The sequence below is a fragment of the Homo sapiens genome, chromosome 11 (assembly GCF_000001405.40).
Source record: "Homo sapiens chromosome 11, GRCh38.p14 Primary Assembly".
In the NCBI taxonomy this organism is placed as follows: Eukaryota; Metazoa; Chordata; class Mammalia; order Primates; family Hominidae; genus Homo; species Homo sapiens.
The window spans coordinates 72,700,176-72,726,007 of NC_000011.10; the positions used below are offsets into that span (position 1 = coordinate 72,700,176).

At 56.3% G+C, this 25,832-nt stretch overlaps 1 protein-coding gene, 1 long non-coding RNA gene and 1 pseudogene across 6 annotated transcripts in view, besides 11 other annotated features; 2 read left to right on the forward strand and 1 right to left on the reverse strand.

Annotated features, from left to right (window-relative positions):
- The window catches only part of ARAP1 (ArfGAP with RhoGAP domain, ankyrin repeat and PH domain 1), a 67,340-nt gene that overhangs the window by 15,107 nt on the left and 26,401 nt on the right, over positions 1-25,832 (reverse strand). For 2 of the 5 annotated variants that reach the window (NM_001369489.1, NM_015242.5), the window contains exons 1-14: positions 21,675-22,165; positions 13,977-14,146; positions 13,001-13,068; positions 12,263-12,393; positions 12,021-12,164; positions 11,255-11,324; positions 10,846-10,966; positions 10,210-10,412; positions 9,695-9,801; positions 7,000-7,199; positions 5,630-5,715; positions 3,977-4,159; positions 2,730-2,904; positions 1,474-1,608 (exon numbers count right to left, since the gene is read on the reverse strand). In NM_001369489.1, the coding sequence (NP_001356418.1) occupies positions 1,474-1,608; positions 2,730-2,904; positions 3,977-4,159; positions 5,630-5,715; positions 7,000-7,199; positions 9,695-9,801; positions 10,210-10,412; positions 10,846-10,966; positions 11,255-11,324; positions 12,021-12,164; positions 12,263-12,393; positions 13,001-13,012 (1,567 nt within the window). In that variant the 5' untranslated portion in view covers positions 13,013-13,068; positions 13,977-14,146; positions 21,675-22,165. Of the gene's footprint in view, positions 1-1,473; positions 1,609-2,729; positions 2,905-3,976; positions 4,160-5,629; positions 5,716-6,999; positions 7,200-9,694; positions 9,802-10,209; positions 10,413-10,845; positions 10,967-11,254; positions 11,325-12,020; positions 12,165-12,262; positions 12,394-13,000; positions 13,069-13,976; positions 14,147-21,674; positions 22,166-25,832 lie in introns of those variants that run through there. The other 3 variants (NR_161388.1, NM_001040118.3, NM_001135190.2) reach the window with 3 other exon arrangements.
- ARAP1-AS2 (ARAP1 antisense RNA 2) lies at positions 299-5,432 on the forward strand. The gene is made up of 2 exons (NR_146780.1): positions 299-378; positions 3,689-5,432. It is a non-coding gene; the product is annotated as an ARAP1 antisense RNA 2 (long non-coding RNA).
- Positions 845-944: a silencer, noted in NCBI's record as "silent region_3724". NCBI's record gives its function as "represses an Ori minimal core promoter by ATAC-STARR-seq in GM12878 lymphoblastoid cells {active_cell/tissue: GM12878}" and the evidence as "EXISTENCE:reporter gene assay evidence [ECO:0000049][PMID:35858748]".
- Positions 3,876-4,712: an enhancer, noted in NCBI's record as "H3K27ac-H3K4me1 hESC enhancer chr11:72415096-72415932 (GRCh37/hg19 assembly coordinates)". NCBI's record gives its function as "activates a minimal SCP1, AML or CMV promoter by ChIP-STARR-seq in primed H9 embryonic stem cells {active_cell/tissue: H9 hESC(primed)}" and the evidence as "EXISTENCE:reporter gene assay evidence [ECO:0000049][PMID:30033119]".
- Positions 5,790-6,376: an enhancer, noted in NCBI's record as "NANOG-H3K27ac-H3K4me1 hESC enhancer chr11:72417010-72417596 (GRCh37/hg19 assembly coordinates)". NCBI's record gives its function as "activates a minimal SCP1, AML or CMV promoter by ChIP-STARR-seq in naive H9 embryonic stem cells {active_cell/tissue: H9 hESC(naive)}" and the evidence as "EXISTENCE:reporter gene assay evidence [ECO:0000049][PMID:30033119]".
- RPS12P20 (ribosomal protein S12 pseudogene 20) lies at positions 8,011-8,390 on the forward strand (annotated as a pseudogene).
- Positions 9,466-10,168: an enhancer, noted in NCBI's record as "H3K27ac-H3K4me1 hESC enhancer chr11:72420686-72421388 (GRCh37/hg19 assembly coordinates)". NCBI's record gives its function as "activates a minimal SCP1, AML or CMV promoter by ChIP-STARR-seq in naive H9 embryonic stem cells {active_cell/tissue: H9 hESC(naive)}" and the evidence as "EXISTENCE:reporter gene assay evidence [ECO:0000049][PMID:30033119]".
- Positions 12,467-13,047: an enhancer, noted in NCBI's record as "H3K4me1 hESC enhancer chr11:72423687-72424267 (GRCh37/hg19 assembly coordinates)". NCBI's record gives its function as "activates a minimal SCP1, AML or CMV promoter by ChIP-STARR-seq in naive H9 embryonic stem cells {active_cell/tissue: H9 hESC(naive)}" and the evidence as "EXISTENCE:reporter gene assay evidence [ECO:0000049][PMID:30033119]".
- Positions 13,629-14,208: an enhancer, noted in NCBI's record as "H3K4me1 hESC enhancer chr11:72424849-72425428 (GRCh37/hg19 assembly coordinates)". NCBI's record gives its function as "activates a minimal SCP1, AML or CMV promoter by ChIP-STARR-seq in naive H9 embryonic stem cells {active_cell/tissue: H9 hESC(naive)}" and the evidence as "EXISTENCE:reporter gene assay evidence [ECO:0000049][PMID:30033119]".
- Positions 16,949-17,449: an enhancer, noted in NCBI's record as "H3K4me1 hESC enhancer chr11:72428169-72428669 (GRCh37/hg19 assembly coordinates)". NCBI's record gives its function as "activates a minimal SCP1, AML or CMV promoter by ChIP-STARR-seq in naive H9 embryonic stem cells {active_cell/tissue: H9 hESC(naive)}" and the evidence as "EXISTENCE:reporter gene assay evidence [ECO:0000049][PMID:30033119]".
- Positions 17,754-18,254: an enhancer, noted in NCBI's record as "H3K4me1 hESC enhancer chr11:72428974-72429474 (GRCh37/hg19 assembly coordinates)". NCBI's record gives its function as "activates a minimal SCP1, AML or CMV promoter by ChIP-STARR-seq in primed H9 embryonic stem cells {active_cell/tissue: H9 hESC(primed)}" and the evidence as "EXISTENCE:reporter gene assay evidence [ECO:0000049][PMID:30033119]".
- Positions 19,029-19,108: a silencer, noted in NCBI's record as "silent region_3725". NCBI's record gives its function as "represses an Ori minimal core promoter by ATAC-STARR-seq in GM12878 lymphoblastoid cells {active_cell/tissue: GM12878}" and the evidence as "EXISTENCE:reporter gene assay evidence [ECO:0000049][PMID:35858748]".
- Positions 19,339-19,408: an enhancer, noted in NCBI's record as "active region_5194". NCBI's record gives its function as "activates an Ori minimal core promoter by ATAC-STARR-seq in GM12878 lymphoblastoid cells {active_cell/tissue: GM12878}" and the evidence as "EXISTENCE:reporter gene assay evidence [ECO:0000049][PMID:35858748]".
- Positions 22,122-22,191: an enhancer, noted in NCBI's record as "active region_5195". NCBI's record gives its function as "activates an Ori minimal core promoter by ATAC-STARR-seq in GM12878 lymphoblastoid cells {active_cell/tissue: GM12878}" and the evidence as "EXISTENCE:reporter gene assay evidence [ECO:0000049][PMID:35858748]".

A 25,832-nucleotide genomic window follows, 5' to 3' on the forward strand; every position in this document is an offset into this window, starting at 1 on the left:
CACAGCACTGAGCTTTACAGTGGCTCAGAGCTTCCTGGCATCCAGGGCAAAAAGGATGACTCAGGCAGTTGTTACATAAATGACATTGTCAGGCAGAGGGAGGCAGACCTGGGGCAATGAGGTTGTGAACAGCATGGAGTTCCAAAGAAATCTCTTTGGGAGTTGGAGGGCTTTGTCCCCGTAGGAAAGCATGCAGGAGGTGCTGAGGGATGTTGTCAGCAATGACCTCACAATGTTCCCACAGCAGACTCTGTCTCTCATCCTGTCTGTGAGGGCCTGACATGTGCTCTTTGAGAGCAATGTGTCCTCAGGCCTGTCCCCGCAGGTGGGCTCCCTCCAGGAGCACCAGCTCTGCCTGAGTCATCCTTCATTCTGCAGGTATTTGCCAAGTGCCCACTGTGTGCTAGCCACTGTTCTAGGATCTGGGGGCTACAGGCAGTGGTGGCCAAAAGGAGTTTATGTCCCAGTGGGGTACAGAGAATCTATAGATAAGTACATTAATGGACAAATGAGTACCAGGTAAGTGGTGTGAAGAAAATGCAGGGTAGCCAGGCGTGGTGACTCACGCCTGTAATCCCAGTACTTTGGGAGGCCAAGGCGGGCAGATCACCTGAGGTCGGGAGTTTGAGACCAACCTGACCAACATGGTGAAACCCCATCTCTACTAACTAAATTAGCCAGGCATGATGGCGCATGCCTGTAATCCCAGCTACTCGGGAGGCTGAGGCAGGAGAATTGCTTGAACCCGGGAGGCAGAGGTTGCGGTGAGCCAAGATCGCGCCATTGCACTCCAGCCTGGGCAACAAGAGCGAAACTCCATCTCAAAAGGGTAAAGGGAGAGATGGGGGGTGCTATTTTGCATAAGGTAGTCAGAGATGACATCTCTGCAGGAGTGATACTGAAACAGAGACCTGACGGAAGTGAGGGACTGGCCATGCAGATACCTGGGGGAATGCATTTCAGGCAGAGGGAACAGCACAGGCAAAGATCCTGGTAGGTGACGACGTGTCTGAGAAACAGTGAGGAGACCGGCAGAGTGATTAGGGGGGTGGTTCAGAGAGGTAATGGGGGTGGTGGCCAACTGTGCGGGCTCTTGTGGATTTTCTTCTGAGTTGGGGAGTGAATGGAAGGCTGAGATCAGATGGATAGGGCTTTCGTTCAGTCCTCAAACTCCCTACCAGCCACAGGCTCTTACTACCAGATGCTCAGCAGAGCCCATATCCAGTAGGGGCTCAATAAAGGCTCATTTAGTCCAAAGAAACTCTGGCACTGACCTGCTCTGCAGTGTCATGCACTACCCCCACTCCCACCAGGATCATTTAGGAAGTACCTACTGTGTACCACAGACTATATCCAGGAAGCCCTCTAGGGTGACTCTGCCAGAGTCCACCAGTCTGGCCAGCCCTGGCTTCCCTAGCCCTGCAGCCGTGACCAGATGCCATGGGCTAAAGCAGAGTCTGGGGTGGCACCCACCTTCCCGGGCCCGGCGGTCCTGTAGCAGCTTGCCGGCAGAGGCAGTCTTGTAGAGGAAGCCACTGTGGCTCACGGTCGGCAGGACAACTGAGTAGTGCTTTTCCAGGGGCTTCATCGAGTCCAGCCGAGGCACCTCTTTGTAGGCGGGGAAAGGATGGCAGGTCATGCTGGCCACCCAAGAGGGTGTCCCCACCTCACTCCCACCTGGCCTGGGCATTCAGGCTCACTTTCGAATCATCAGCCCCAGCTCCCTAACTGGCAGCCTCAAGCTCCCCCTCCTACCTGCAGGGTCTTGTCCAGGCTGTTTCTCCACCTCTCCCCACTTGTGGAAATTCACTCCACTCCCAAGGCCCAGTTCCAGCACCTCCCCTTCCAGGAAGCCTCCCTGATTCCTGCCCCACCCCACTCTCCAGGTTGGAGGCATAGGCCAGGCACACTGGCATGAGGGGGGCATTGGGCAAACTCAATAATAATCCCTGGAAAGAGGATTGTCCCAGACAGCGGGAAGCTCAAGGTGGCAGCCTGACTACAGCCCTGTTCCCCACGGTCAGCGCCGTGGGGGGGCGGTGATCTGTCCCCAAGCCCAAGCCAGTTGGGTGGTCTCCTGTGTCTCCCTGGACACCTGGGCTCTCTCCAGCCCAGTGTGCCCCGCCCACCCATGGCCCTGAGCCCAGAGCCCCAGCCATTGAGCTCCACCCTCAGTCCTGGGATGTGGCCCCAGAGTCCAGGCCTGGGCCACGAGCTGTGCTGCTCAGCCCACTGACCCCTCCTCACCCACCCCAAGAGGGAGCCAATGGTACCCAAACCAAGTTCAGGATTGAGCTCCACCCAAGCAGGGCAGTAGACAGGGCTGCCTAGGTGGGTGACCCACCCATGGAGAAATGTAACTCAGCACCCCTCACGCAGCAACACAGACACACTCTGCACACGCATGTACTCCAAAGCTCTCAGCATCCCCAGAAACACAAATCCGGGGGGCTCAGAGGCGCACAAACACCAGCACAGCTGCCAGCCATCCTGAGGGGCCCACACTGCAAGTCAGGGAAGTCATCAACAGTCACAGAGACACAGACACAGAGGAACATGCATACGTAGTACAAATACACACTGACATGCAAACCCAAGCACACCCCAGCTCACACATGATTTATCACAGGCCCTTGAGGAGCTGCGATCACGGCCTGAGAGCAGCAGGTAAATCAAACCCCACCAGGCACTGCACAGCCTGGTGGACCCCCACCCTCTGCCACGCTCACCTGTGGTCCGGTTGTTCCGAAGGAATTCCATCTGCAGCGTCTGCCCCGCCTGCTCTGCAAGAGCCAGGGGCGTGGGGGCCTCAGGGTCCCCCGAGAAGCAGTTGATCCCAGCCCCACAGCCCAGGAGCGCCTGGGTCTCAGCCAGGTCTGTGGTGGTGACTGCAGCACACAGGGCCTAGGAAGAGGCAGGGGAGGGTCAGCCCAAGAAGGAGTAGGGGGCCCACAAGGAAAGGGGCTACGGGGGAGGAGAGGAAAGAAAAGGAAGGAGTCACCCAGGCCTGGAGCAGTCCATCCTCAGACTGAAAGAGAGAATAGGAAGGAAGAAAGAGAGAAGGAGAGGGAAGAGAGAGGCCAAGGGGAGGAGGGGTGAGCAGGGGCTGCCTAGCAGAGGCCAGGGGATCCCAGCTGCCCGGGGCCTCACCCCTGCTGGCTGCCTGGACACAGCTGCCCAGTCAGCCAGAGCCTCCAGAGGATCTCAAGCTCCTTCTGCCTTGTGGAGGAGCCGGGGGGGGGGTGTGCTTTGTAGCTAATTCCTCCCACATTTGAATTCCTCACCGCCTGCCCAGCCCTCCCAACCAATGGGAGTTGCCGCCCTCCTGGCTTGCAGGCTAGACTGGGTTGGGCTGGGAGCAGGACGCCTGGGTCCCTGGGAGGTGGAGGCCTGACTCCCACCGGGCTTCTAGCTGGACTGAGTCTGCCTGGGAGGGGCGGTTTGGGGGAGGGGCTGAAGGCCAACCAGAGGTCACAAATGGCATACCCCTGCCTCGGAGCTGGCTGCCTCCCACTCAGGCAGAGCCAGATCAGGGCCTAAGACTTGGCTCCCAGCCTGTCAGGGCCTGGGGCCCATGCGGGGCCTCATCTTGAGTGGGGTGTGGATGGGGATGGGTCAGAGCAGCCCAGCTGTTTTTCATGAGCCTGACAGGAAATAGCATCCCCATCAAGTTCACTCTTTTTGGCAGGATTCAGAAGCAACCGGACGGGGTGCAGGAGACTGAGGAATTGGGAGAGAGACAGACAGATGCTGGGGATGTGCCCTTGGCCCAAGGGTCAGGCCTGGCTCCTCCCTGCATGGCCAGAACTTTTCACATGGCTTAGGCAGGGCCCTTCTGCCCTCCAAACATCAGTTTCCCCATATGCCAAGACATCTCCCTGAGCTGGTAGATGAGATGGGTTAAGACAGCATGAGGAACAGGGCAGCAGAAAGACGGGGGTGGTCCCAAGGGGCCCCAGAGCTGCAGTGCCCTGACCTTGTCCAGCTCCTCCTGGTTGCCAAAGAGCGGGTGGTAGCGGCGGTACTTGCCCTCACGGTACTTGGCCTCCAGGTGGCACCGCCGGGTGCTGGGGCTGCTGCTGGGCTGCAGGGCCTCACTGGGGGGCACGTTGGCTGCCCAGAAGCGGTTCCCAGCGCCATTCCCCAGCTGTAAGAAGAGCTGTGGGGGTGTGCAGGAGGTCAGACGGGCCAGCTGACAGCCAGGGGCCGTGCCGGGCAGAAACTTGGTTTCTGAGGTTGTTAGGAAAGGGGCTGGGAGAGCCAGGCCATCTGCCCACTTTCCCAATGGGGAAGGTGAGGACAGCCTGGCCTGCTGGTGGCTGGGGATGCTCCTGCCACCAGCACTGGGCTCTGAGCCTAGGTCTCAGGCTCAGTGACAGGACAGGGAGTCAGCAGACTGACAGGTGGATGCCTCAGGCCTTGCACCTGGTCCCAGGGGCCTTGCTGCTGCCCCACCCAGTTCCACATCTGGAGCTCTGCATTCCTGAGGCTGTGACAGCTGGGGATGGGTGCCTAACCTGTCAGCCAATGGGGTGGGCAGGGATTTTGGAAACCTCTCCTATCCCTGACATTCCTCTCTGGGCAAGAGGGATGGGGGTGGATTCTGGGTGAGTGCAGGGATCCAGCATTTGGTAATCAGTTCCTTCATTCGGCTCCTCATTCCACAGCCATTTCCTAGGCCCCCCACCTTGCCTCCTTGTCAGGTCCTGTATGGGGTGCTGGAGTCACAGCACAGAACAAAGCAGAAAAGTCCTTGCCACTACTGATTCACTCTGTGTCTTCCAGCAAGTTATTTTCTCTCCCTGGGCTTCAAGGCTGTAAACTGGTTATTCTAATCCTAACTCCTGGCTTGTTCTGAAAGTCAGTTAATTAACATATGCAAAGTCCTTAGCACTTATGTGCCAAACACACCGTGGGGAGGTGAGAAACGGATGTGACACTCCAAGTGTCTGGAGTCTGCAGCCTGGGTCTACCCTCCCATTGCAGGTTCTCCCCTATATCTACCACATATGGGTACCTGGGAGTTTCCAGTACAGGGGCATAAATGTACACGTGTGTGCACACACAGCACACATATATATACCCACTGGTACATGTGAGTTCACATGAAATGGAGGCTGAGGGCCTCTGAGGGGCTGTGCAAGGTAGGGGAGAAGGCCCTGGGTCAGCCAGAAGTGGGATGGAAAGAGGCAGGGATGGTGGTCAATATGCATTTACAGGGTAATCTCAGGCAGATTACAGCCCTGCCCAGGACCTCAGTTTACACATCTATTCAATGGATGACAGTGAAATTAGATCAGAAGTTAGCAAATTCTTTCTCTAAAGGGCGAAATAGTAATTATTTTCGGCTTTACAGAACACATACAGTCTCTGCTGCATTTTCTTCCTTTTTTTTTCTTTAAAAAAAAATAACACTTTACAACTATAAAAACATTCTTAGCTCACTGGCCAGTTTGCTGACTTTGCCAAAAATTGCTTTTCCGAAATCCCCACCCACTAGATTATCACAAAGGGTCTCTTCCAGCTCCAAGGTGCTGTGGTCACTGAGATAGGGAGGGGGCTGGGAGACCCAGACAGCTGTTGAATGGGGCAGACCCCAAGTATCGGTGGCAAGCAGGGGCATCCCCACCTCGATAAGTGTTTCTGTCCACACCTTCCTGTCCATCTTCAGGCTCCGCACCTTGGAGACGCCAGCGCCCAGGCCACGGTGCTCCCCTGTAGACACAGGGCCAGACCCAGAATCACCTGGGCCCCCCCTTCACGGGAGCACTTACCCACCCCCAGTGTCTACTGGGACAGGCAGGGATGAGAGGCCACAGGCAGGCCCCAGGGGGTAGGCCTGCTGGCAGCTCTGGAATCCAGCCGTGTACTCTTGCTCCCCACAGGGCAGGACTGAGCCCCGTAATCCTTGCCTGGGCTCCTGCACCAGCCCTCTGCAACTGGCCCCCTGGAACCATGCTTGGCCTCTTGCAGGCCACTCTTAACAAAGCCCTGCCAGAGGTGATCTCTTTAAAATGTAAATCCCTGACTTCTAATCCCTGCTTTCACCCTCCAGTGGCTCCCAGAATTAGATCACAACTCCTTACCTGCTTCCCCTCCTTCATCTTTCTACCCAGACTGTCATCACCCATGTCCTCATGGCCACTCCTTCCTGCCATTCAGATCTCAGCTGGCATGTCACCTCCTCAGAGAGGGCCTCCCCAGCACACTTCCCTAGACTTGCTCCTCCACCTGGATCCCCACCTCCAGCAGCCCACAGCCACCACCTGGGCTACGTCAGCTCCCAAGAGGACAGAATCCCCAGCATCTGGCACACAGTGGCCAGAATGAGTGGCCTCGATTGAGCAGATGAATGAACCTTGGGCTCAACCCTCTCGCATTTCATCTTCCTCATCCAGTCAGTCAGAGAGTTTTCCACCATAGATCCTGAACAGCCCTCAAATGCTCACGGCTTCCCCAGGCCAGGCTTCCTCCTCCTCCCTCTCCTGGATCCTATGGCAGCCTCCTCACTGGTCTCCAGTCTTGCCCCTCTAACTCAGCTTTCACCCACCAGCCAGAGTCTGACCCACAAATCTGACCATGTCCCCGCCTCCCATCGCCCTCCAGACAAAAACCAGCTCCTCCCTCTGCATGCAAAGCCCTGCCTGGCCCCTGCCAACTCCTCTTGCCTGGCCTTCCCTATTCTTCTGACATGAGAGGAACACCAGACCCCAACAAGCCTGGGCTCAAATCTGGGCTCACTTACTTGCCAGGTGACCCTGAACAAGCCATTTCCTCTCCCTGTGCCTCCGTGTCCCCACCCGTGATGGGAGAAGTTGAACCCCTGCCTGGCAATGTAAGGACTCAAAGCTAATCACAGGTGTGCAGGAGAAGCCTCATCAACAGCAGCTCTCTGAGTGCTGTCTCCGCTCCAGGCCCTCCTCCAGATAGGATACCTGCCATCCCAACTGGCCAACCCCGCCATGCCTCTGCCTGGTGCCCCGACCCCCATGCACACACCTGCACAGCGCTTGCAGATAACAACACAGAGGTTGATGGAGGCCCAGTCAGGCTGAGGAGCCCCGCAGTCAGCACAGAACCTGTTGGGGGCTGCAGCCCAGATGCGCTCGGCCACCTCCGAGGTAGACAGGGCCTCAGCGATGGCTCCCTGCATGGCCTCCAACCACTGCTCCTTCTCTAGCTCTGAGTCAGCAGAGAAGCTGGGGACATAGGGGTGGGGAGATTAGTGGGGATGGACTCAGAGGGATTTGGGGGCAGCATGAGGATGCACAGAATGAAGTGGGGGACAAGGTGTTGGGAGCGCTTAGGCAAAAGAGTGAGGCATCCCACTCTGGTAGGGAAGGTAGGTGTGGACAAAGGCAAGGACAACAGGAACACAAGAGCGTATGGGGGCAGGGGAGCCCAGTGGGGGGCTCTGCCCAGCCCGCAGAATGAAGGCTGCTGGGAAGAAAATGATGCCTGAGCTAAGATTCGACAGATCAGAAGGGCTGAGCCAGGTGAAGAGGTGAAAGGACAGTCTAGACAGAGGGAACAGCATGTGCAAAGGGGCAGGATTGCACAGGGGGCATTCCAGGAGACAGAAGGGCAGACTGGCAGAGAAAAGGGTGGGAGATGGACAGGGACAGGCCTGCATCAGGAAGAGGAAGTCAAAGTGTACCCTGAGGACAATGGAGAACCCACAGAGGGTTTAAGTAGGAAGGAGGGGAGGGTACAGAGATGTCTTTAAAAGACTCCTCCGCCATCCCTATCCTCATTCCTGTCCCAGCCCCAAATGTGACATGCTCCATAACCCCACTCCACAAAGAACTCCACTGGCCCAACATACCGAGACACCTGTGGCCGCTATAGCATGCCCTGCTCTTCAGGGTGGGAGGCCCTGGTTGAACAATAAATGATGACTGTCCCTGAAAAAATTTAGTTTTAAAAAGACCCCTCTGGCTCTTTCCCTGCCACCACCGAGTCACACATGTGACCATGAGTCTACTCCACCCATGACCCATTGCCACAACCAAGGAAGGCATCGCTGCTGGAGGTGTGATGGCCATTAATGCCACTTTATGGAGGTGCTGGAGACCTCCTCCTCCACAACCTAGCACGTGGAATTCGCAAAACTGCCAAAGGTGGAGCCAAGCACCAAGCTCACCTTCCTGTGCTTGCACCCAAATGCAACGAGCCACTCATGCCAGCTGGGGGAGGCCCTTTGTGTAGAACACTAAGTCTACCTCTTTAGGGTTGATGACAACAAGAAACCCAGGAACGGACAGGCCTCTCAGACTGACAATCAGAGAACGCCCGTCAGGCGGGGCTGCAGCTGTGTGGTAGTTAAGGACTATGGCAAAGAATCTCAGGGCAAGGATGTCATCAAAGAGAACTTCAAATGCAAGAAATGAGCAAATAAAAACTTAGCTCTCAAATATAAGGCTCCCGCAGAAGTCAAAGCAGTTGGAGTAAAGAGGCTGGACAGGCACGGGCGGCCCAAGAGTGAGGAGGCAGGCGCTGGGGCCAAAGGCCCACCAGGCCTGGGCTAGAAGGGTGACAGCAGAGGGATGGGGCCAGATGGGGTAAAAAGGAATGGCACAGGCCAGGTGTGGTGGCTCACCCCTGTAATCCCGGCACTTTGGGAGGCCGAGGTGGGTGGATCACCTGAGGTCAGGAGTTCGAGACCAGCCTGACCAACACGGCAAAACCCTGTCTCTACTAAATATACAAAAATTAGCCGGGCGTGGTAGCGTGCACCTGTAATCCCAGCTACTTGGGGAGGCTGAAGCAGGAGAATCACTTGAACCTGGAGGCAGAGGTTGCAGTGAGCCGAGATCGTGCCACTGCACACCAGCCTGGGAGACAGAGCCTAAGACTCTGTCTCAAAAAGCAAAAAAAAAAAAAAAAAAAGGAAAGGCACGAGTCCTTCCTTCTTGGTTGGAGAGACAGGCCTCTGGGAAGAACAGGGAGCTGAAAAGGGGAGATGCCCACAGCTGTCAGATATGCAGGCCAGAGCTCAGCAGAAAGATCCCGCTGGAGACAGACACCTGGACTAAGAGCAGAGAAGTGGAAGGGTTGGGAGTGATGCTAGTGTTTATTGAGCAGTTACTACCCAGTATTACAAACACTTCCCCAGGAAACTGAGGCACACAGAGGCCAAGTGATTTCCCAGGTCACACAGCTAGTCAGTGGTGGACCCAGGATTCGAACCCAGGCATAGTTCAGTACCTCAGAGGTAGCGGCTGAAGGCCTGGGAGTGGGCAAGGCTGCCCAGGGAGAGGGCAGAGGACAGAGAAAGACACCAATGAACAGCTGAGGTCAGAGGAAACCAAGATGGCAGAGGCTTGGTGGCCCAGAGACAAGGACTGAGGAGCAGCCTCATGAGAGACAAGAGCACTCTCCAGGGGTGGCGTAGGCGCAGGGATAGTGGGGCAGGGGCAGTGGGAGCAGGAGGCCAGATGGGCAACCCCTGAGCAGCATGGCGGGCAGGGGAGGACAGCAGTTGCCAAGCAGCACAGGGGAGAGTAAGACCTCTCAGGAGGGAAGGAGATCAGAGAGGGTTAGCAAGTGACGGGAGAGGGGCTCCACAGGTGGGGCAGGGCGGGGCAGGGTGAGGGAACCCATCCCATAGGAAGGGGCAGCTTCCCACGTCGCGCAAAAGGAAAACATTAGGAAGGAGTGAGGATGCCGGTGAGCCAAGAAGATGGAGGGTCACCTGAAGATGCGGTAGGGCGTGGTGAGGTCGAAGCTGCGCCGGTCCACTTCCTTCACGTTGCCCACGCTCATGTCGATGAAGGTGATGCCAATGCCCAGGTGGTACTCCTGGAGGGCAGATGGGACGGGATGAGGGCAAGGCTTTGGGGGCAGGGCGTGAGGCTTGGGACAGGGAGAGGAAGGGAAGGTGGTGCAACTCAGGGACTGGGGGGGGTGCCCAGGAGGGAGACAGCAGGGGACATGGGAGGCTGGGCAGGGTAAGGGGCTGCAGGTTCAGGGCCCACACAGCAATGAACAGAGGTGCGGGGGAGCAAGGGCCAGGGCAGGGACTGGAGGGCAGTGCTCAGAGCCTGGGGGAAGTGGTCAGAACTTGGGGGAGCGAGGACATATCCAGGCAAAGGGCTGGGCCCAGTGCAGGAAAAGAGGGAACAGAAAAGGCAGGGCTAAGGCCCTAGGTCAGCCTGGGGCAGGGTAGGTGGACATGGGCAGGGGAGAGGTTCCATGACCCCTTAGCACCTCTAGATTCTTGTAGAGCTGCACTTTGTCCCCGACCACGGCCACGTACAGCTTATTCTTGAAGCCACGAAGCTCCAGGCTGCCAGCGCGGTCAGGCTGCTCTGAGCCTGGAACTCCCAGCAGATAAGCGCTAGAGAGCCGGGCCCGGGCACGCTGCTCAGCCATGGCCTGCTGCAGGGCCTGCATCCACTCCTTCCGCTCCACTGCAGGAGAAGGGTAGAGGAGTAAGCCCAAGGTTGCAGGGAGCCCCTCAGGGGTCTCCTGGCCCTAGGCTCCTCATGCAACACCTCCTCCAGAAAGCCCACTCAGATGCCCCCATCATTTTGCTTGACTTCTCTGACTTGAACGAGCTCAGGCTCCAATCCCAGCTATGCCACTGATGCTGGGCAAGTGACCTCACCCCTCCAAGCCTGCTCCCGCTGATTGTGTGGTTCTGAGGAGTCAGTGACCGTGCCAAGCACAGAGCCGGTCACAGAGGGTGCCCCCTTCCTCTGCCCACCTCACAAAGGCAGCATGCCTCCCCGGATGTGATGTGAGAGGGCAGATGCACCATGACTCTCTTCCCCCTCCTCTGCCCAAACTTCCAGTCTTCTCTACCCTCTTCTACACACACACACAACACCCCACACTCCCCACCATCACTCTCTGCCCGGAAGGCAAAGGTTCGGTTGTTTGTGATCACTTCAAACTTCTGGTCCCCGATGGCAGCCACGTGGGAGATGCAGGCCACAGAGATAAAGCGCTTAGAGTAAGCGTCCTGGGGGAGAGACAGGAACTATATTTTGGGACCCAGCACCTCGCTGACTCCCCCAGCCTCAGCCAAAATGAAGTCTGCAGCCCTGTCTCCTGCAGCTGGTTAGAGACAAGACCCTGTGCTGACCCTGACTGCAGCCCTCAGCAGGCAGAGGGCCAGGAGGACATGGGTTAAGGGGTCAGACTTAGAACTCTGGCGAGGACTCCTCTGGGGAGGGACGCCACCTCGCTCCAGTGTTGGGGCCAGCCTAGGCTGGAGCAGGGGTCGCGTCAGGACTGATGCAGGCCTCACCTTGTTACTGTCAAAGTATCGCAGGTGATCAGTATCCAGTCTCACCCATCGTTTCTGATAGATGTAAGATCTGGAGAGGGAGAGGGACAACAAGCAAATGACCGGGGGTAGGAGGACAGGTTCCAGGACCACCCCAGCCCTCAGAAGCCACACTCAGAGTGAGGATCAGCCAGGTTCTAGGGAGGAAGAATCCCAAATGGCCACTGGCAAGAAGATGGACTTTACAGCAAGAGTGACTGAAGTCAGACTCAAAGTAGCACATCTCTTTTTTTTTTTTTTTTTTTGAGACAGGGTCTCACTCTGCCACACAGGCTGGAAGGCAGTAGTACAGGCCTAGCTCACTACAGCCTCAGATGCCTGGGCTCAAGTGCTTCTCCCACCTCAGTCTCCCAAGTAGCCAAAACTACAGGCATGAGCCACTGCACCTGGCTAGTTTTTAAATTTATTTGTAGAGACGAGGTCTCGCCATGTTGCCCAGAGTGGTCTCAAACTCCTGGCCTCAAGCAAACCTCCCATCTCAGTATCTCAAGTGCAGAGATTACAGGAGTGAGCCACTATGCCCAGCGATCTCCCAATTTTCAGGGCAATAAAATGGGTCTGGAGGGAATCATCAGTGGTCACAGTGTGCCTGGAGGGAGACCTGTGCAAATCATCGCAGGCCCTTCTGGTTTTCAGATCAGTGAGTGATACCAGTGTCCTGGGGTCCTGGACACTGCCCCCCACCCCCCCATGCAGAGCACAGCAGGACCCAAGAGGCCTCACTCACCCCTGCGGTGGGTTCTTGTCCAGCCAGCCAGCCTTGATGACTGGTGTGACGGGGGTGGAGCCCCCAGGCGGCCCGTCCATGGGGTGTGGCGCAGCTATTGTGCTGGGCAAGGACAAGCTCAGGCTGCTGGTATGCCATCCGCCACTAGCGAGAGATGAGGGGATGGGGGGCCGGGCTGAGGAGGCAAGGAGGGGGCGGGCTGAGGTTGGGCTCAGTGGGAAGGAGGGTGGCCGGACACTCACTTGGGGACGCCCTCATAGGCGTGGTCATCCTCTTCCTCATCCCCTTGGTCGTCCCCAGACAGTTCCTCTCCCTCGCTCAGCAGACTGGCCACGCGCACGGCCCGTGGGACTCGGCTCGGTGGGGGCTCCTCCTGCCCCCGAGACCCACTCAGCGTCATCCTTCCCTTCAAGCCACAGATCACACCCACCCGGGGCTGCCACGCCCCCTCTGTCCACACAGCCCCGACCCACACAGCCCAGCACTTTTAGTTCTGTTTCCTCACACTCCCCTCCCCCTGCCAGCGGAGACCACACAGAGACCCAGATCACAGGGACAGGAGAGCCAGTGGCAGAAACCGACCTAGGACACAGACAAAAACAGAAAGATAAAGGGACAGAGAAAAAGACTGCGGGCTAGGGATGCAAGACAGACAGACACGGGAACACAAGAAGTGAAACAGAGACAGACACTCCGGGACAGGACACGAGTTCCTAACACACAGGGTGGGGGGAGGCCACATGCCCACCCACATACAGCCAGGGCCTGGGGGAGCCACACCAGAGCCCCGACCCCTGGCCCAGAGCGCTGTGGCTACACGTGACTCCTGACCCCCGTATGGCAAGAGAGTGAGGTGGGGGAAGGGGAAGCCTCCCGGGAAATGGCTGCCCACTCTCTGTCTGGTAGTCCTCAGGGTCTGACAGGCAGCTGGGCACCCCCACAACACCCTGACAGGCAGACAGTCCCATGCCTGGCCCCACCTTCTTGGTCATCACTCTGGCTGGGGCCCCCGGCCCCTCCTCTGGGACCTCATCGTAGTCAGAGTCATCTGGTGAGAGAGGGGTTGGGGGGCCTCAGGGCAAGGGGCCTGGCCTCCTCTCCTGGGGCACCACACTGGGCTTCACAAAGCCTCCCCCATGCCAAGACCCCCATCCCCACCTCCCCCTGGCTTTCAAAAAAAGGCACAGGGGACAGGAAGTGCGATTTATACCCCCAGGCCTCATAGGACAGTACTAAAGGGTGGCAGAGGAGAAGCTGGGACACCACAAGGAGGTCCGAGCCAGTGGTGAGCTTGGGGGTTGGGGTAAGGACTGTCAAAGGCAACAAGAATCAACAAATGTGGCCAACCCCAGGAAAAGCAAACCACCTCTGGCCAGGCGCGGTGGCTCATGCCTGTAATCCCAGCACTTTGGGAGGCTGAGGTGGGCAGATCACGAACTCAGGAGATCGAGACCATCCTGGCTAACACGGTGAAACCCCGTCTCTACTAAAAATACAAAAAATTAGCCAGGTATGGTGGCGGGCGCCTGTAGTCCCAGCTACTCGGGAGGCTGAGGCAGGAGAAGGGCGTGAACCCAGGAGGCAGAGCTTGCAGTGGGCGGAGATTGCACCACTGCACTCCAGCCTGGGCGACAGAGCGAGACTCCATCTCAAAAAAAAAAAAAAAAAAGAAAAGCAAACCACCCAACACCATGGAAAATCAGACCATGGGTAACTGGCAAAGCCGGCCATGGCCCCACACTTAACGGTCAGGAGGCCAGAGAGGTGGGTGCTGTCTCCATTGTGAGGATGAAGAGAATAGCGCTCAGGGAGGCTGTGACCTGCCCGGGGCCACACAGTGGGCTGGTGGCAGGCTTGCACAGAAAGGAGTGTGATCCTTGCATACCTTCCAGAGGCCTGATTCCAGGGATCCCAGGCCATCCACCCAGAGCCCCATCTCCTGGCTGCAGCACTCACCGAACTCTGGGAACAGGCGTACCGGCTTTGGAGGTATCTCCGGGGGGCAGGGAGGTGGAGAGGGAGGCTGGGGAGGCCCCTGGGGGAGGGTGGACAGGGGCTCCTCAGACTGTGGCTGGGGAGGGGATGATAATGATGGCAGCAATGACTCCTCCTCCTTAGTGGGCAGGCTGGGAACACAACAAAAGTTGGGCATCACTAAGCAACAGAGCCAAGACTGAAACATACTGAGCCCCCAGCTCACCTGAACTGCAGCAAAACTCAGGCACTACACAAACTCACACAGACAGGAGCCCTCCTGCACACAGTCCTCCTCAACTCATCTCCCAGACCAAAACCCCTCCTGGTTCCCCGAAGCCTAAAGGAAGCAGGCACCCTCTTTGGCCTGAATGAGGTGTTCACCTATCCCCAGTGCTCTAGCTTTTAGTCACATATATCTACTGGGTCTCCACACTGAAGGAGGGATAAAGACCAGAATGGGGAGTCAGGGAAGGATTCGTGGAGAAGGTGATGCTTGACCTGAGCTTTTAAGGATAAGAAGGCATTGACGGCAAAGAGAAGGGACAGGATTGAAATGAGCTGCAAGGCCCGAGGCACAGACCAGAGCCTCAGAAACCAATTCCTAAGGCCCTGAATTGTGGGTCTCTGTCTCAAGATCACCTTGCTCTTGCCCAGATTTGGATATTCACTACCTCCTGGTGCCCTCAGACTCCTCAAACTCACCTGATCCCACCAGACCCATCTCCCACACCTCTGCTACCTCACCCCACTCACTCACCTCTGCTACCACTCCCCAGGGAACCCTCCCCTGATTCTCCAAGGCCAAGTTCAGGGCCTCCTGGGCTCTCACGGCCCCACAGTGTTCCCATCTGTCTCAGTACAGATCACATTGCTTCTGGCAGGCTGTCTTCTGAAGGGCTGTGGCATCAAGGACATGAATTTGAATCCTGCCTTAGTTTCTTAGTTCTTGTGTGTCCTGGGGTGAGCACCTAGCCCCTCTGAGCCTCAGTTTCCTCTTCTGTGAAACGGGGGCTATATCACTGACCTGGCAGGGTGCTAGAAGGATTAACCAAGACAGGATGTGTCATGTGCCAGTGCACAGGATGCACGGGGACTACAGGCTGGAACAAGGTGCCTGAGCCCTGGAGGCCTGGCCCCACCAGCTGTCTCTGCCAGTGCCCTGCAGGGGCCAAGGAGGAGAATCAGGGTGGATGGCTTATTTTTGGCCTTGTCTGTTGCCCTGGTGTTCCTGGCTGATGGTGTGGGGCTACCGTGAAAGCAAGGAAGGGCTGGGAGGCAGTGACAGGGTCTGCCTGGGGTGTGGTCATGATGCCAGGCCTTTCCTCCTGCTGTTGCCTCCACCAGTAACACCCTTCTCCCTGTTCTCTGCCTGGGAATATCCACTAGTTTTTTAACTTCTTTTTTTTTTTTTTTTTTAAGAGACTGGGTCTCACTCTGTGGCAGACTGGAGTGCAATGGCACAATCACAGCTCACTGCAGCCTCAAACTCCCGAGTTCAAGTGATCCTCTGACTTCAGCCTCCCGAGTAGGTGGGTCTCAAGGTGTAGAGACTGGGTCTTGTTATGTTGCCCAGGCTGGTTTTGAACTCCTGGCATCAAGCAATCCTCCCACCTCGGCTTCCCAAAGCAATCCTTTAACTCTAAAACCACATTTCCCTTCTCTGAAAGTCTTCCTTGACCCTCCTTTATGCTGCTCTCCATTAAGACCTTCATACAAATGGCTGGGTGCAGTGGTTCACACCTGTAATCCCAGCACTTTGGGAGGCCAAGGCGCGCGGATCACGAGGTCAGGAGATCGAGACCATCCTGGCTAACACAGTGAAACACCATCTCTACTAAAAATACAAAAAAATTAGCCGGACGTGGTGGCAGGCGCCTGTAGTCCCAGCTACTCAGGAGACTGAGGCAGGAGAACAGCATGAACCCGGGAGGTGGAGCTTGCAGTGAGCCGAGATCGCGCCACTGCACTCCAGCCTGGGGGACAGAGCAAGACTCCGTCTCAAAAAAAAAAAAAAAAAAAAAAAGATCTTCATACAAATTATTCTAAATGACATTTTTCAAAGTATCTCCTTTGTGCCAAGATCTGAACCCTGACTCCAAAGTTTATGAGCTTCTTAGGACACTTGGCTACTTCCACATCACCTTCTACTATACTTGTCTCTTCTCCAGGTGTAGATAAAAGTTAACCAAACCCTTTCCTCTTCTGTGTGAAGAGCTGGCCTTCGGCTAGGTTTCCAGCTCTGTTCCCCTAGAAACCTGCAAACGGTGGCGTGTCAGCCCTGTTACCAGGCAACCACTGCCTTTGGCAGCATGGCCTGTGGAGGAACAGCATCTGGACGGAGAGAAACTATAAGCAGATTCTATATCTGGTAGAGAAACCGGAGCTTTGAGCTTCGCTCAGTGTGGTGACTTGCAAACTGGGCACATCGCACACAGGGAGTTGAAGCCACACCTGTGGGGATGTTAGAAAACTACTGGCCCCTTAGGTAAGAGCTTTCAAAGCCAGGATGGCTCCCTATGAGTCACTATCCACTGTGAGACCCAGTCCTTCACTCCTGAGCTGTCACTTGGAGGGCCACAGAGAATGGCTCCTGGACAGCTGCATGGGCTGTGGCTCGGATCGCTTCAAAGACCCCATGGCAGACGAAGGCCTGCCACTGCCCTGGCGGCAAGCTGCTCCCTACCCAACGGGCCTCTCTGGGAATCTGGGGCCAAGGGGTGGGCCTGTGGGAGTCTTGAGTCGGAACGTACTCTCACAGCTGGACCTATGAAGACCCCCTGGTGGGCACTGCACCAGGCCGTCTCCCCTACATGACCTGAGTCCCTTTGGGGCAGGGGCAGCATCTGACTTGGTACCCCCGCAGCCCAGTCAGTAGCAATAGCATGTGGACAAGGTGGGTGGACAGGTGGGCAGGTGGAAGGGAAGGCAACGGAAGGGGTGAACGATGACCAAGCAACTGAGGGAGTGCCTGAAGGCCCAAGAGCATGAGCTGGGGTGCTGGCCCCAGCTGGTCACCTGCGATTCCCTTAGAGACTTCTTGATGGGCAAATCAATCCATCACTGCTGCCTCCCAGAGCCCAAGAGGAAGGCGCCTTGGAAACCCGGCCTGGGATCAGCAGAGAGCAGAATTCCAAGCTGTCAGGCCAGGGCCAGTCAGACCTCAGTCCAGGGAGGTGGGGACAGGTGCCATCTCTCCAATGCCAAGCAGGATTGAGGGAGCCTGGCTCCCAAAGCTCCCCCAGGTCTGAGGGCCAGAGCTGAGGGGAAGGTGGTAACCATAAATAAAAACTGCCCACCTGCTCGTCCGCATCCCTGGGGTCCGGCAGCATCAGCCCCCCTCCTCTGGCACCACAGTGCATCTCCCATCACTGTCCTGATCAACTGCGACGGGTCTGTGCATCTTGGGCAGCAGGCACGTTCCCTGAAGCAAGCTCCACACCCTCCTTCCTCATTGGGGTAACTCCAGCACTCAGCAGGGACTTACAAACACCTGGATTCATTAATTGTGTGTATGCGTGTCTACATGTGTGTGTTCCCAGCCATTTTCTGAGCACTTGACATGGATTCTTCATTCATCTACTCACAGCGCTCTGTAAGGCTTGTCATGATTCCACTTTACAGAGGAGAAAACCGAGGCACAGGGATGCTAGGTTATTTGTTCTTGGTGCCACAGCTGGGATGTGAACCCTGGCAGCCCAGTACCACAGCTGAGCAAATGAGGCCATGCCAGGGTCCCAGGGCTCCTCTGAGGCCAGCCTCCTCCCATGGGCAGCCAGGTCTCAGGACCCATCTGAGAGGGAACACATCACTGCCCTGCCCACGGCAAGAAGGGAGAGGGAAACAGATGCAAAGGGCTCCTCTCCCAGCAGAGCTTCCACAGGGAAGGGACCGTGTCTCACGAAGGTGGAACACAGGGGCCTCTCGGAAGCATCTGGGAAATTCTAGCCACCTTCTCCAGGAAGTCTCCTGGCTGCTCCCTGCCTGCCTGCTTACCACAGGGTATCAGGGCACTGCTGAGTCAGGACGGAGCCCAGGAAAGGAGAAGTGCTTTCAGGAAGGCACAACATGTGGGAAAACCCCAGGGAAAAGGCAGTGACCCCCTACCGAGAACAGGGCCCACAGAATGCCCCCGCCATAGCCCAAGTCCCAGCCTCTCACTGCTTGCACCCCTAAGAGTAGGCCCCGCTCCAATCCCGAGGTCCAGCTGAGGCCCGGCTTGGATGTCACCCACTGACTTGTCACCCACTGGACCACGTCCTCAATGGCGCCACCTCCAAGCCTTCACACAGTTTCATCCTCCTCTGCCCTCTCCCTCCCGTAGCCCACAGAAGCCCACCTCCACCTCAAAATGCAGCTCAGCCGGCCTCCTCCTCTAGGCAACCTCCAAGATTCTCCCACAGAGCTGCTCCCCACTCACCCCGCACTGCAGCTCCCTCTCCCCTCTACCCAAGGGGCATGTGAACCCACCTGCTTACCCACTATTCCCGAGAGACTAGGCACCCCGGGCAGCTAAGGGGTTGGTTCACCCCAGCCTGGGCCCTCAGCCTAAATCTATTTTATAGAATCAGAGAAAATACATGCAGCAGACCTCATGCCTGGGGGTTAGGTGACATGGTGGGTAGGCAAAATGCAGAATGGGTAAGAGGAGGGTGCAGCTTGTGCAGAAGTTGAGAGGCAGACCATGGACATCCCATCCTCATTGGGGTATCTCCAGCACTCAGCAGGGACTTACAAACACCTGGATTCATTAACTCTGTGTGTGCGTGTCTACGTGTATGTGTTCCCAGGCATTTTCTGAGCACTTGACATGGATTCTTCATTCATCTACTCACAGTGCTCTGTAAGGTAAGGCTCGTGATGATTCCACTTTACAGAGGAGGAAACCGAGGCACAGGGATGTTGGATTATTTGTTCTTGATGCCACAGCTGGTATTTGAACCCTGGCAGCCCAGCACCACAGCCGAGCAAACAAGGCCATGCCAGGGTCCCAGGGCTTCTCTGAGGCCAGTCTCCTCCCATGGGCCACCAGGTCTCAGGACTCATCTGAGAGGGAACACATCACTGCCCTGCCCAAGGTCACCCTCCTCTTACCCATGACCACATAATTCATTGTATAAACCACAAACACTTCTAAGAGTTAAAAGAGGCACTATTAATAACTATGTCAGGGCAGCAGGCATAAACAGGGCCTGTCCCACGTCAAATGAGATGTGTGGTTACTCAATTAACTAGAGACAGGGCTTGGAGCCAGGCAGACCTGGGCTTGAACTCAGCTCAACTCATTGGTTTGGGACCTTGAGCAGGTCCCTTCCTCTCCGAGCCTCAGTCTCCAGGCTTACTGATAATTCAGTAAAGGAGGGCCACTTGCACATGGCATCAACAGAACCTCTTCACCTTGAAGGAGACCCAGGCCCTACAGGCTGAGCCAGGAACCAGCTTCATAGCCTTAGCGGCCTCTAATGCCACCTCCTTCTCCTTCACCCCTACCCGTTCCTATCTTTCTGTCTATACCAATCTCTGGCCGAAAGAACCAGGTGTCACTGTGAGAGAAGGAAGGCCACAGAGTGGAGCAGTCTGCATATCTCAGGCTGACCCTGGACTCACCCCACTACTCACACTCCAGCCCTCCCTGACTGAGCTGCAGTCTATCAGTGCATACTTACAGGCCTTTAATACTCTGTTCCTTCCACCTGGAACACCCTCCCCTGCCTGGCCAACTCCTAGTCCTCCTATAAAAAGCCCAAATCATACATCCATCCTCCCCACTATCGCAGGCCTCCCCTCACATCTCAGGCTGATCTGGGGCCTCCCTGGGGCTCCCCACAATTCTGATCACTCAATATGGTCATATCAATGTGTGCTTCACTGAACTGCCTCAGAGGACTGAGGACCCAGACCTAACCCCATCCTAGAGTCACCACCTCCCCACAAGATGTCACACAGGTCTTGGAGGGACCTGGCCCAATCCCAGCCCCTGGACTCTCACCATCAGGGCTGCCGGCCCAGTGATCTGTGGACATCTGTGTCCCACCCTGATGTCTCCATTCCACAGGGGTAAACTGTCCCAGCTGCCCGCTTCCTCAATCATGCTCTGGACTCTCAGGGGCCCGGGCCTCAGTCCTATGCCTCCTGCTTCCTCTGTGGCTTCTTCCTTCCTCCTCCATCATGAGACCCAAAGGTCATCCCCTCCAGCACTCTCCTGGTTCTGCTCTGTTCACTTCTGCCTAGCCCCCAGCATAGACAGCCCTTCCTAGGGTCTCACTTGCTAGAATGGGATGTCCACGGTCTGCTTCTCTCAACTTCTGCACAAGCCGGGAGCCCCTAGGGCCAGTCCTCTCCATGCCGCCAGCAGTTCCCAGCACAGAAGGGGCTTTAGTAAGTGGGTACTGAATGACCACCACCCTACTCGCATCCTCATCACTGGAGAAGGTCTGCAGCTCCCCAAACTCTCCATACAGCAGTGCCCAGTTAACCTGGAGCCCATCCTCACAACCGCGCCTTCACCCAGCTCTCAGCACTTCTCCCTGGGACAACAGCTACCACTTGCTAAGCGCTCACTATGTGCCAAACATTCTGCTAGGGGCTTTTTTTCATATAATGACCTGGGATTATTAACTCCATTGTGCTCAGGGCATGCCTCCTCCTCCAGGAAGTCCATCAAACCGCTCCCTCCCTCCTCTAAGCCCACACAACCTGTTTGACCTTCCACCACCAGACCTACACTCAGCTTTCCCACAGGCCAGCCCTGCTGTCTGGGCAGGAGGTGGCAGAGGCCCCTTTCCCATGGCAGCTCTAAGCGCTTCCCAGGCCTGGCCCTGTGCTGGCTCCTGAGGGCAGCAGCAGGAGGAAGTTCATCCTCAGGGAGCTCACAGAAGTACTGAGCTCTTCCTGGGTCCAGCCCAGGCCTGGCCTGGCCTGGCAGAAAGAGCAGGTGCAGTTATCCGCTGGGCCCTATGGAAAAGATGAGCCAAGGGCACAGGGCAGGGCTGAAGAGTGCCGGGTGGGTGGACAGGACTTGGTTAGAGGTCTATGTCCCCAATAAGCCAAGCACAGGATTGTTGAATTCATTAGGGATCCACGGTAACTCAGGAAAGGGGAGACCAGCCCCCACACTCCATAAGCACCCACCACAGCACCAGTCCTGGGGAGGAGGGGTAAGCAGCACACCATCTCCCCATCACCCTGGTCTGGGGGTGAGAGGTTCAGAATCACAGCACCCTTGAACTTGACAGTGAAATAAGCCAAACTAAGCCTCCCCAACGAATCCCCAGAGGGGTGTAGGGAGGTGGGAGCAGAGAAGTAAGGTGATCAGCACCAGGCCCCCAAGGGGCAAGAACCCCAAAGAGGAGTATTCTGTGGGGCAGAGTCTGAGAAAGGCCCAGAAAACAGGCACCGTGGGCTCCTGGTGGACCCAGGAGAGGCGTATGGGGAGGTGGAGACCTAGAAAGCCCAGGGAAGAGGGAGGGATGAGACAAGGGGAGAAAAGGAAAAGGCAGGGGAAAAAGAGAAGAAGTGGGGAAAGTGAAATAAGACAAAACTCTAAGAGAAAAAAAGAGAAGGGGGAGGAGAGCAGCACAGAAAACCAGGCCAGAGGTGACAGACAGGGACTTCAGCCCTCCCAGGGCCTCCCTCCTACGTGCCCAACAGCAACAACAGCAACGGCGGCACCTCGCTTACCCTCAGACGCCTGCTGGGTCTTGGGGCTGAGGACTCCCACAGCTCCGGCCAGGCGGGCTGCGTATGCCCAAGAATGTCGTGTACCTGCCCGTGCAAGCCTGGGTCCCGCCTGGGCTGGTCTCGCAAACAGCCTGGCCCCTGGCCCCTGGGTGGGTCTGAGGCTGCGTTCTCTTGGAGGTTTTTGAGCCCAGGTATGGCTTTGCACCTGTGATTTATGTCTTTAAGTGTTTGTGAATCACTTCTCTACGTGCGTGTGTGTTTGTTTCTGTGTATAACTGTGGATCTGTCCAGGAGGAAAGGACAGAGAGAGAGAGAGAGAGAGAAAGACAGAGGGAGAGAGAGAGAGAGTGTGTGTGAGTGTGTGTGACTCTGTGTGTCTGTGTGTATGTGTGTGTGTATGTCTGCACCCAGCTCTGGTCTCCCGGAGGCTTCCTGCTTTGTGTCTCCCCCACCTCCTGCAGCCGTGGCCAACACACACACTTCCTGAAAACACTGAGAAAGCGAAAAGTCACCCAGAATCCCCCGGGGCAGACACTTCCTCCCCGCCCCCAGGCTGCACCCCCACCCAAGCTGGGAAGAGACAACCAACAGTGTCCACTGATCTTGCAGGCCCTCACAGGGTGGATGCCCAGGAAGTCCTGACTGACAAGCCCTGGCGGTGGCCTCTCCACCACTCCACCCGCATAAGGAGACAGAGAGGCTAGGAAAGAGGCTCTCTGAAGGGCGCAAGTTCTGCCCTGGCAACAAGTGATCAGCCTCCAGGAAGACCAGGGATTGGCTGGACTGCAGGGCAGTCAAGGGCACAGGAGGGAAGCCTTGGCAGTGTGGCTCCAGCTGGGCAGCTGCCTTCTGGGCACACACTCCTTCTTCCTGAGGTGCCTCCAGGCATCCAGGTATCAGAGGGGGACACCAAAGGCCAGAGCAAGCTGGGAGGGGATCTGCGGCATGACCCTGGAACCTCACATCAGAAACGACCCCTCTGCCACCCTCAGGGAAGCCAGTTCACAGGGCTCATGTCTGCGGCATTTAAGAGCTGAGTAGACCTGACCTGAAGCCAGGAGGCAGGGTCTGGGCACCGGCTTCCCTTCTGCAGGGCTGGGTGACTCTGGGCAAGTTTCTCAGCATCTCTGGGCTCCTCAGCAAGCACCCCACCACGAGTTTAAATTAATGGTAGGGTGCCGAGTGCAGTGGCTCACACCTGTAATCCCAGTGCTTTGGGAGGTCGAGGCAGGAGCATTGCTTGAGCCCAGGAGTTCAAGACCAGCATGGGCAACAAAGGAATACCTCGTCTTTACAAAAGATTTAAAAATTAGCCAGGTGTGGTAGCACACACTTGTAGTCCCAGCTACTTGGGAGGCTGAGGTGGGAGGATTGCTTGAGCCCAGGAGTTCGAGGCTACAGTGAGCTATCATGGCACCACTGCACTCCAGCCTGGGCAACAGAGAGAGACTTAGTCTCTATTAATAATAATGATGATAATAATAATAATAATAGCAGGGGGTGCAGACTCTGGGGGTGATGTAGAGTCCCCCTAGGCCAGGCAGAATCATGAGCCTGGTTCTGAGAGTCCTGGGCCATGCCAAGGCCAGGAGGAGGGAACTCCATCCTTGCTTGTTTTCTGATTTGCCTAAACCTTGGTCTGTGGCCTACAATCCTATCACAGCCTCGTTCTTCCCACCTGTCTCCTCTGAAGACCTCTCCCTTCCTAAAATATCTGGGATGACGTAGGTTGGGTAGTAGGATGGGGGACAGGGAGCTGGGGCGGTGAGCTCAGGGCCCTATGGCCCAGCTGTGCTGAGGGCACTCACTGGGTGCTGAGTCACATGCGTGTTTACCCACATGCACCCCAAGCTCAGCACGTGCCAGTACACAAGCTCACGTTGGCAATCATTTACTCACCCACACGATATACTTCCCAAGGGCCTATTAGGCATCCAGCACTGTTCTAGATGTTGGGGATTCTGCAGCAAACAAAATCGACTAGGATCCTGGCCCCAGTGGAGCTGCCATCCTAATGGGCTCTCCCTCTTGGCAGCACATGTACACACACGTGCACACACTGGCTCAAGCCTGACAGTGCACAAATAACACAAATGTCATGTTCTGCTCAAACAGCACGTGCACACTCGCGGATGTACTCACACACTGTTGGGGTCTCCACCACAGCAGTAATTGAGCACAAAGGTCCTGATAAACTCACATACACACCACTCCATGTCACCACTGAAACTGCACAAATCCCTACATGCTTCTACATCTTAGTAGCACACACTCTCAGAACCTGTCTGAATGTGTAAATGCACAGACATTCTACTACCCTGACAGCTTGTACTACCACCCACACCCATCTGTATGGGTGCACACACAGACTGGCCCAGACATGCCTCACACTGACTCGAGACACTGAGAGTACACACATGCACACGCATCCACCCCCAAGCTCCACTGGGGAGCCTGGAGATGACCGGCCTCAGCCACCACATGACCTTGTGTGAAAGGCCCTAAGGTTGAGAGAGTGAGTTCCCCATCATGAGGGGTTGCAAGCAGGGGTAGGAAGGCCATGTCATGAGACACTGTGATGGGACTCCCACAAGGCGGGGGTGGGCAGGAGCAGTGTTCCTCTCTACATGCCATGGAGCCTGGGGATCACAGGAAGGGACTGAGAGCGGACAAGGTGGCCAGTCAGGGTCCATGTTGGCCCCCACCCTGATCACTACAGCACTCAGTCTTGGCCTGGTATACACACATGAGGCTCCATCTGCTGTGAGTTTTTCCTACCACAGGGCTTTGAAGACCATACACTCTCTGAGTTGAGTGTGTACAAAGCTGAAGACTGCATATGCCCATGACTCCAACTGCCAAAGACCCCAGGACACAGGAAGCCAGGCTTGGTAGCTTACCCACTACCATACTCTGCCGTAAGGAATAGTCCCAAATTGCAGGAAATACTTTTCTTCCAATTCTCTTAGCACAGAACAGATTTTGGGTACTCAAACTACAAGGGGCTAGACCTTTTCCCGACCATGGCGCCTGGCCTCCTCCTCATGTTGCCTAAATGGCTATGTTCAGACAGGCTCTGAGAGTAGGCATTGGTACCCTGGAGCCCTGGGGTGTGGACAGGACTTCCTCCTACCCAGCAAGCCTCCTGAACTCAGATGTCAGTGCCAGGAGGGCCCAGAAGTCTATGGAGGACCACAGAGGGCACCTGATGGGGAAACAGGCCCAGAGAAGCAGGTCCTCATCAGAGTCACAAAGCTAGCTGGGCCCGACCCAGGCATCCTGCCTCCCAAGCAGGAACCCAGGCCTCCACTGCCCGTCCGGGAGTCACAGGAAGGGCCTGAGAGGGGACCTGGCCAGGGCCCTGCTTCTTCCCTTTGTTCACCCACTTCCAACCCCAGAGACAGACAGACAGACTTTCTCTTCTCTATCCTCTTCTCTCTTCTAACCTCTCTCTCTCTCTCTCTCTCTCTTTTTCTCTCTCTCTCTCCCCCCCACAAGCTGATGGGGTTGAAATAGAAAACGCTCCTGCATGCAGAAGAATGGTCACTAGAGGGCGCAAGGGCACCAGGAACCTTCAATCTGAGCTTCCCTCCAGGTTCCTGGAGAGACCCTATACCTGTTACGAGTTGTGTGAACCCAGGAAGAGCATGTACCCTTTTTGTGCTTCTACCAATCAACCCTCAAAACACCACAGCACTAGCTTGGTCTTCAAGGCCCCCTGACTTAATGCTCCTCCCTGGGTGGAAAGAATCTCCCAGACCCTCCCCACAAGGCCCCCTGAGTATGTCCTTGGCATGGATCCAGCCAGGGCCCCCTCCCTGCTCTCCCTCTGATTTGTTCATGTCCTGCTCGTAAAGCCAGTACACAAATCTCCCAGAAGGTCTGCTGCAGGGATCATGGAGACCATAGAAACACAGAGCCCAGCAGAGTGCCCAGCAATAAACAAACAGGGACCAGGAGACCTCTCTCCGCACACCCCTTCCTCCTCCAAGAAGCCTTCCAAGATTAGCCTCACTTCGCCCAAGTGCTCCACCAAATCTCCCTCACCCCAAACACATATCTACCCTGTCTGGGGATGCTCCCTGACAGCCGGGCATCCCAGCAGATGGCAGGAAGGGAGGGCGTCTGTGAAGGAGATTAACATGGAATATCCACAGG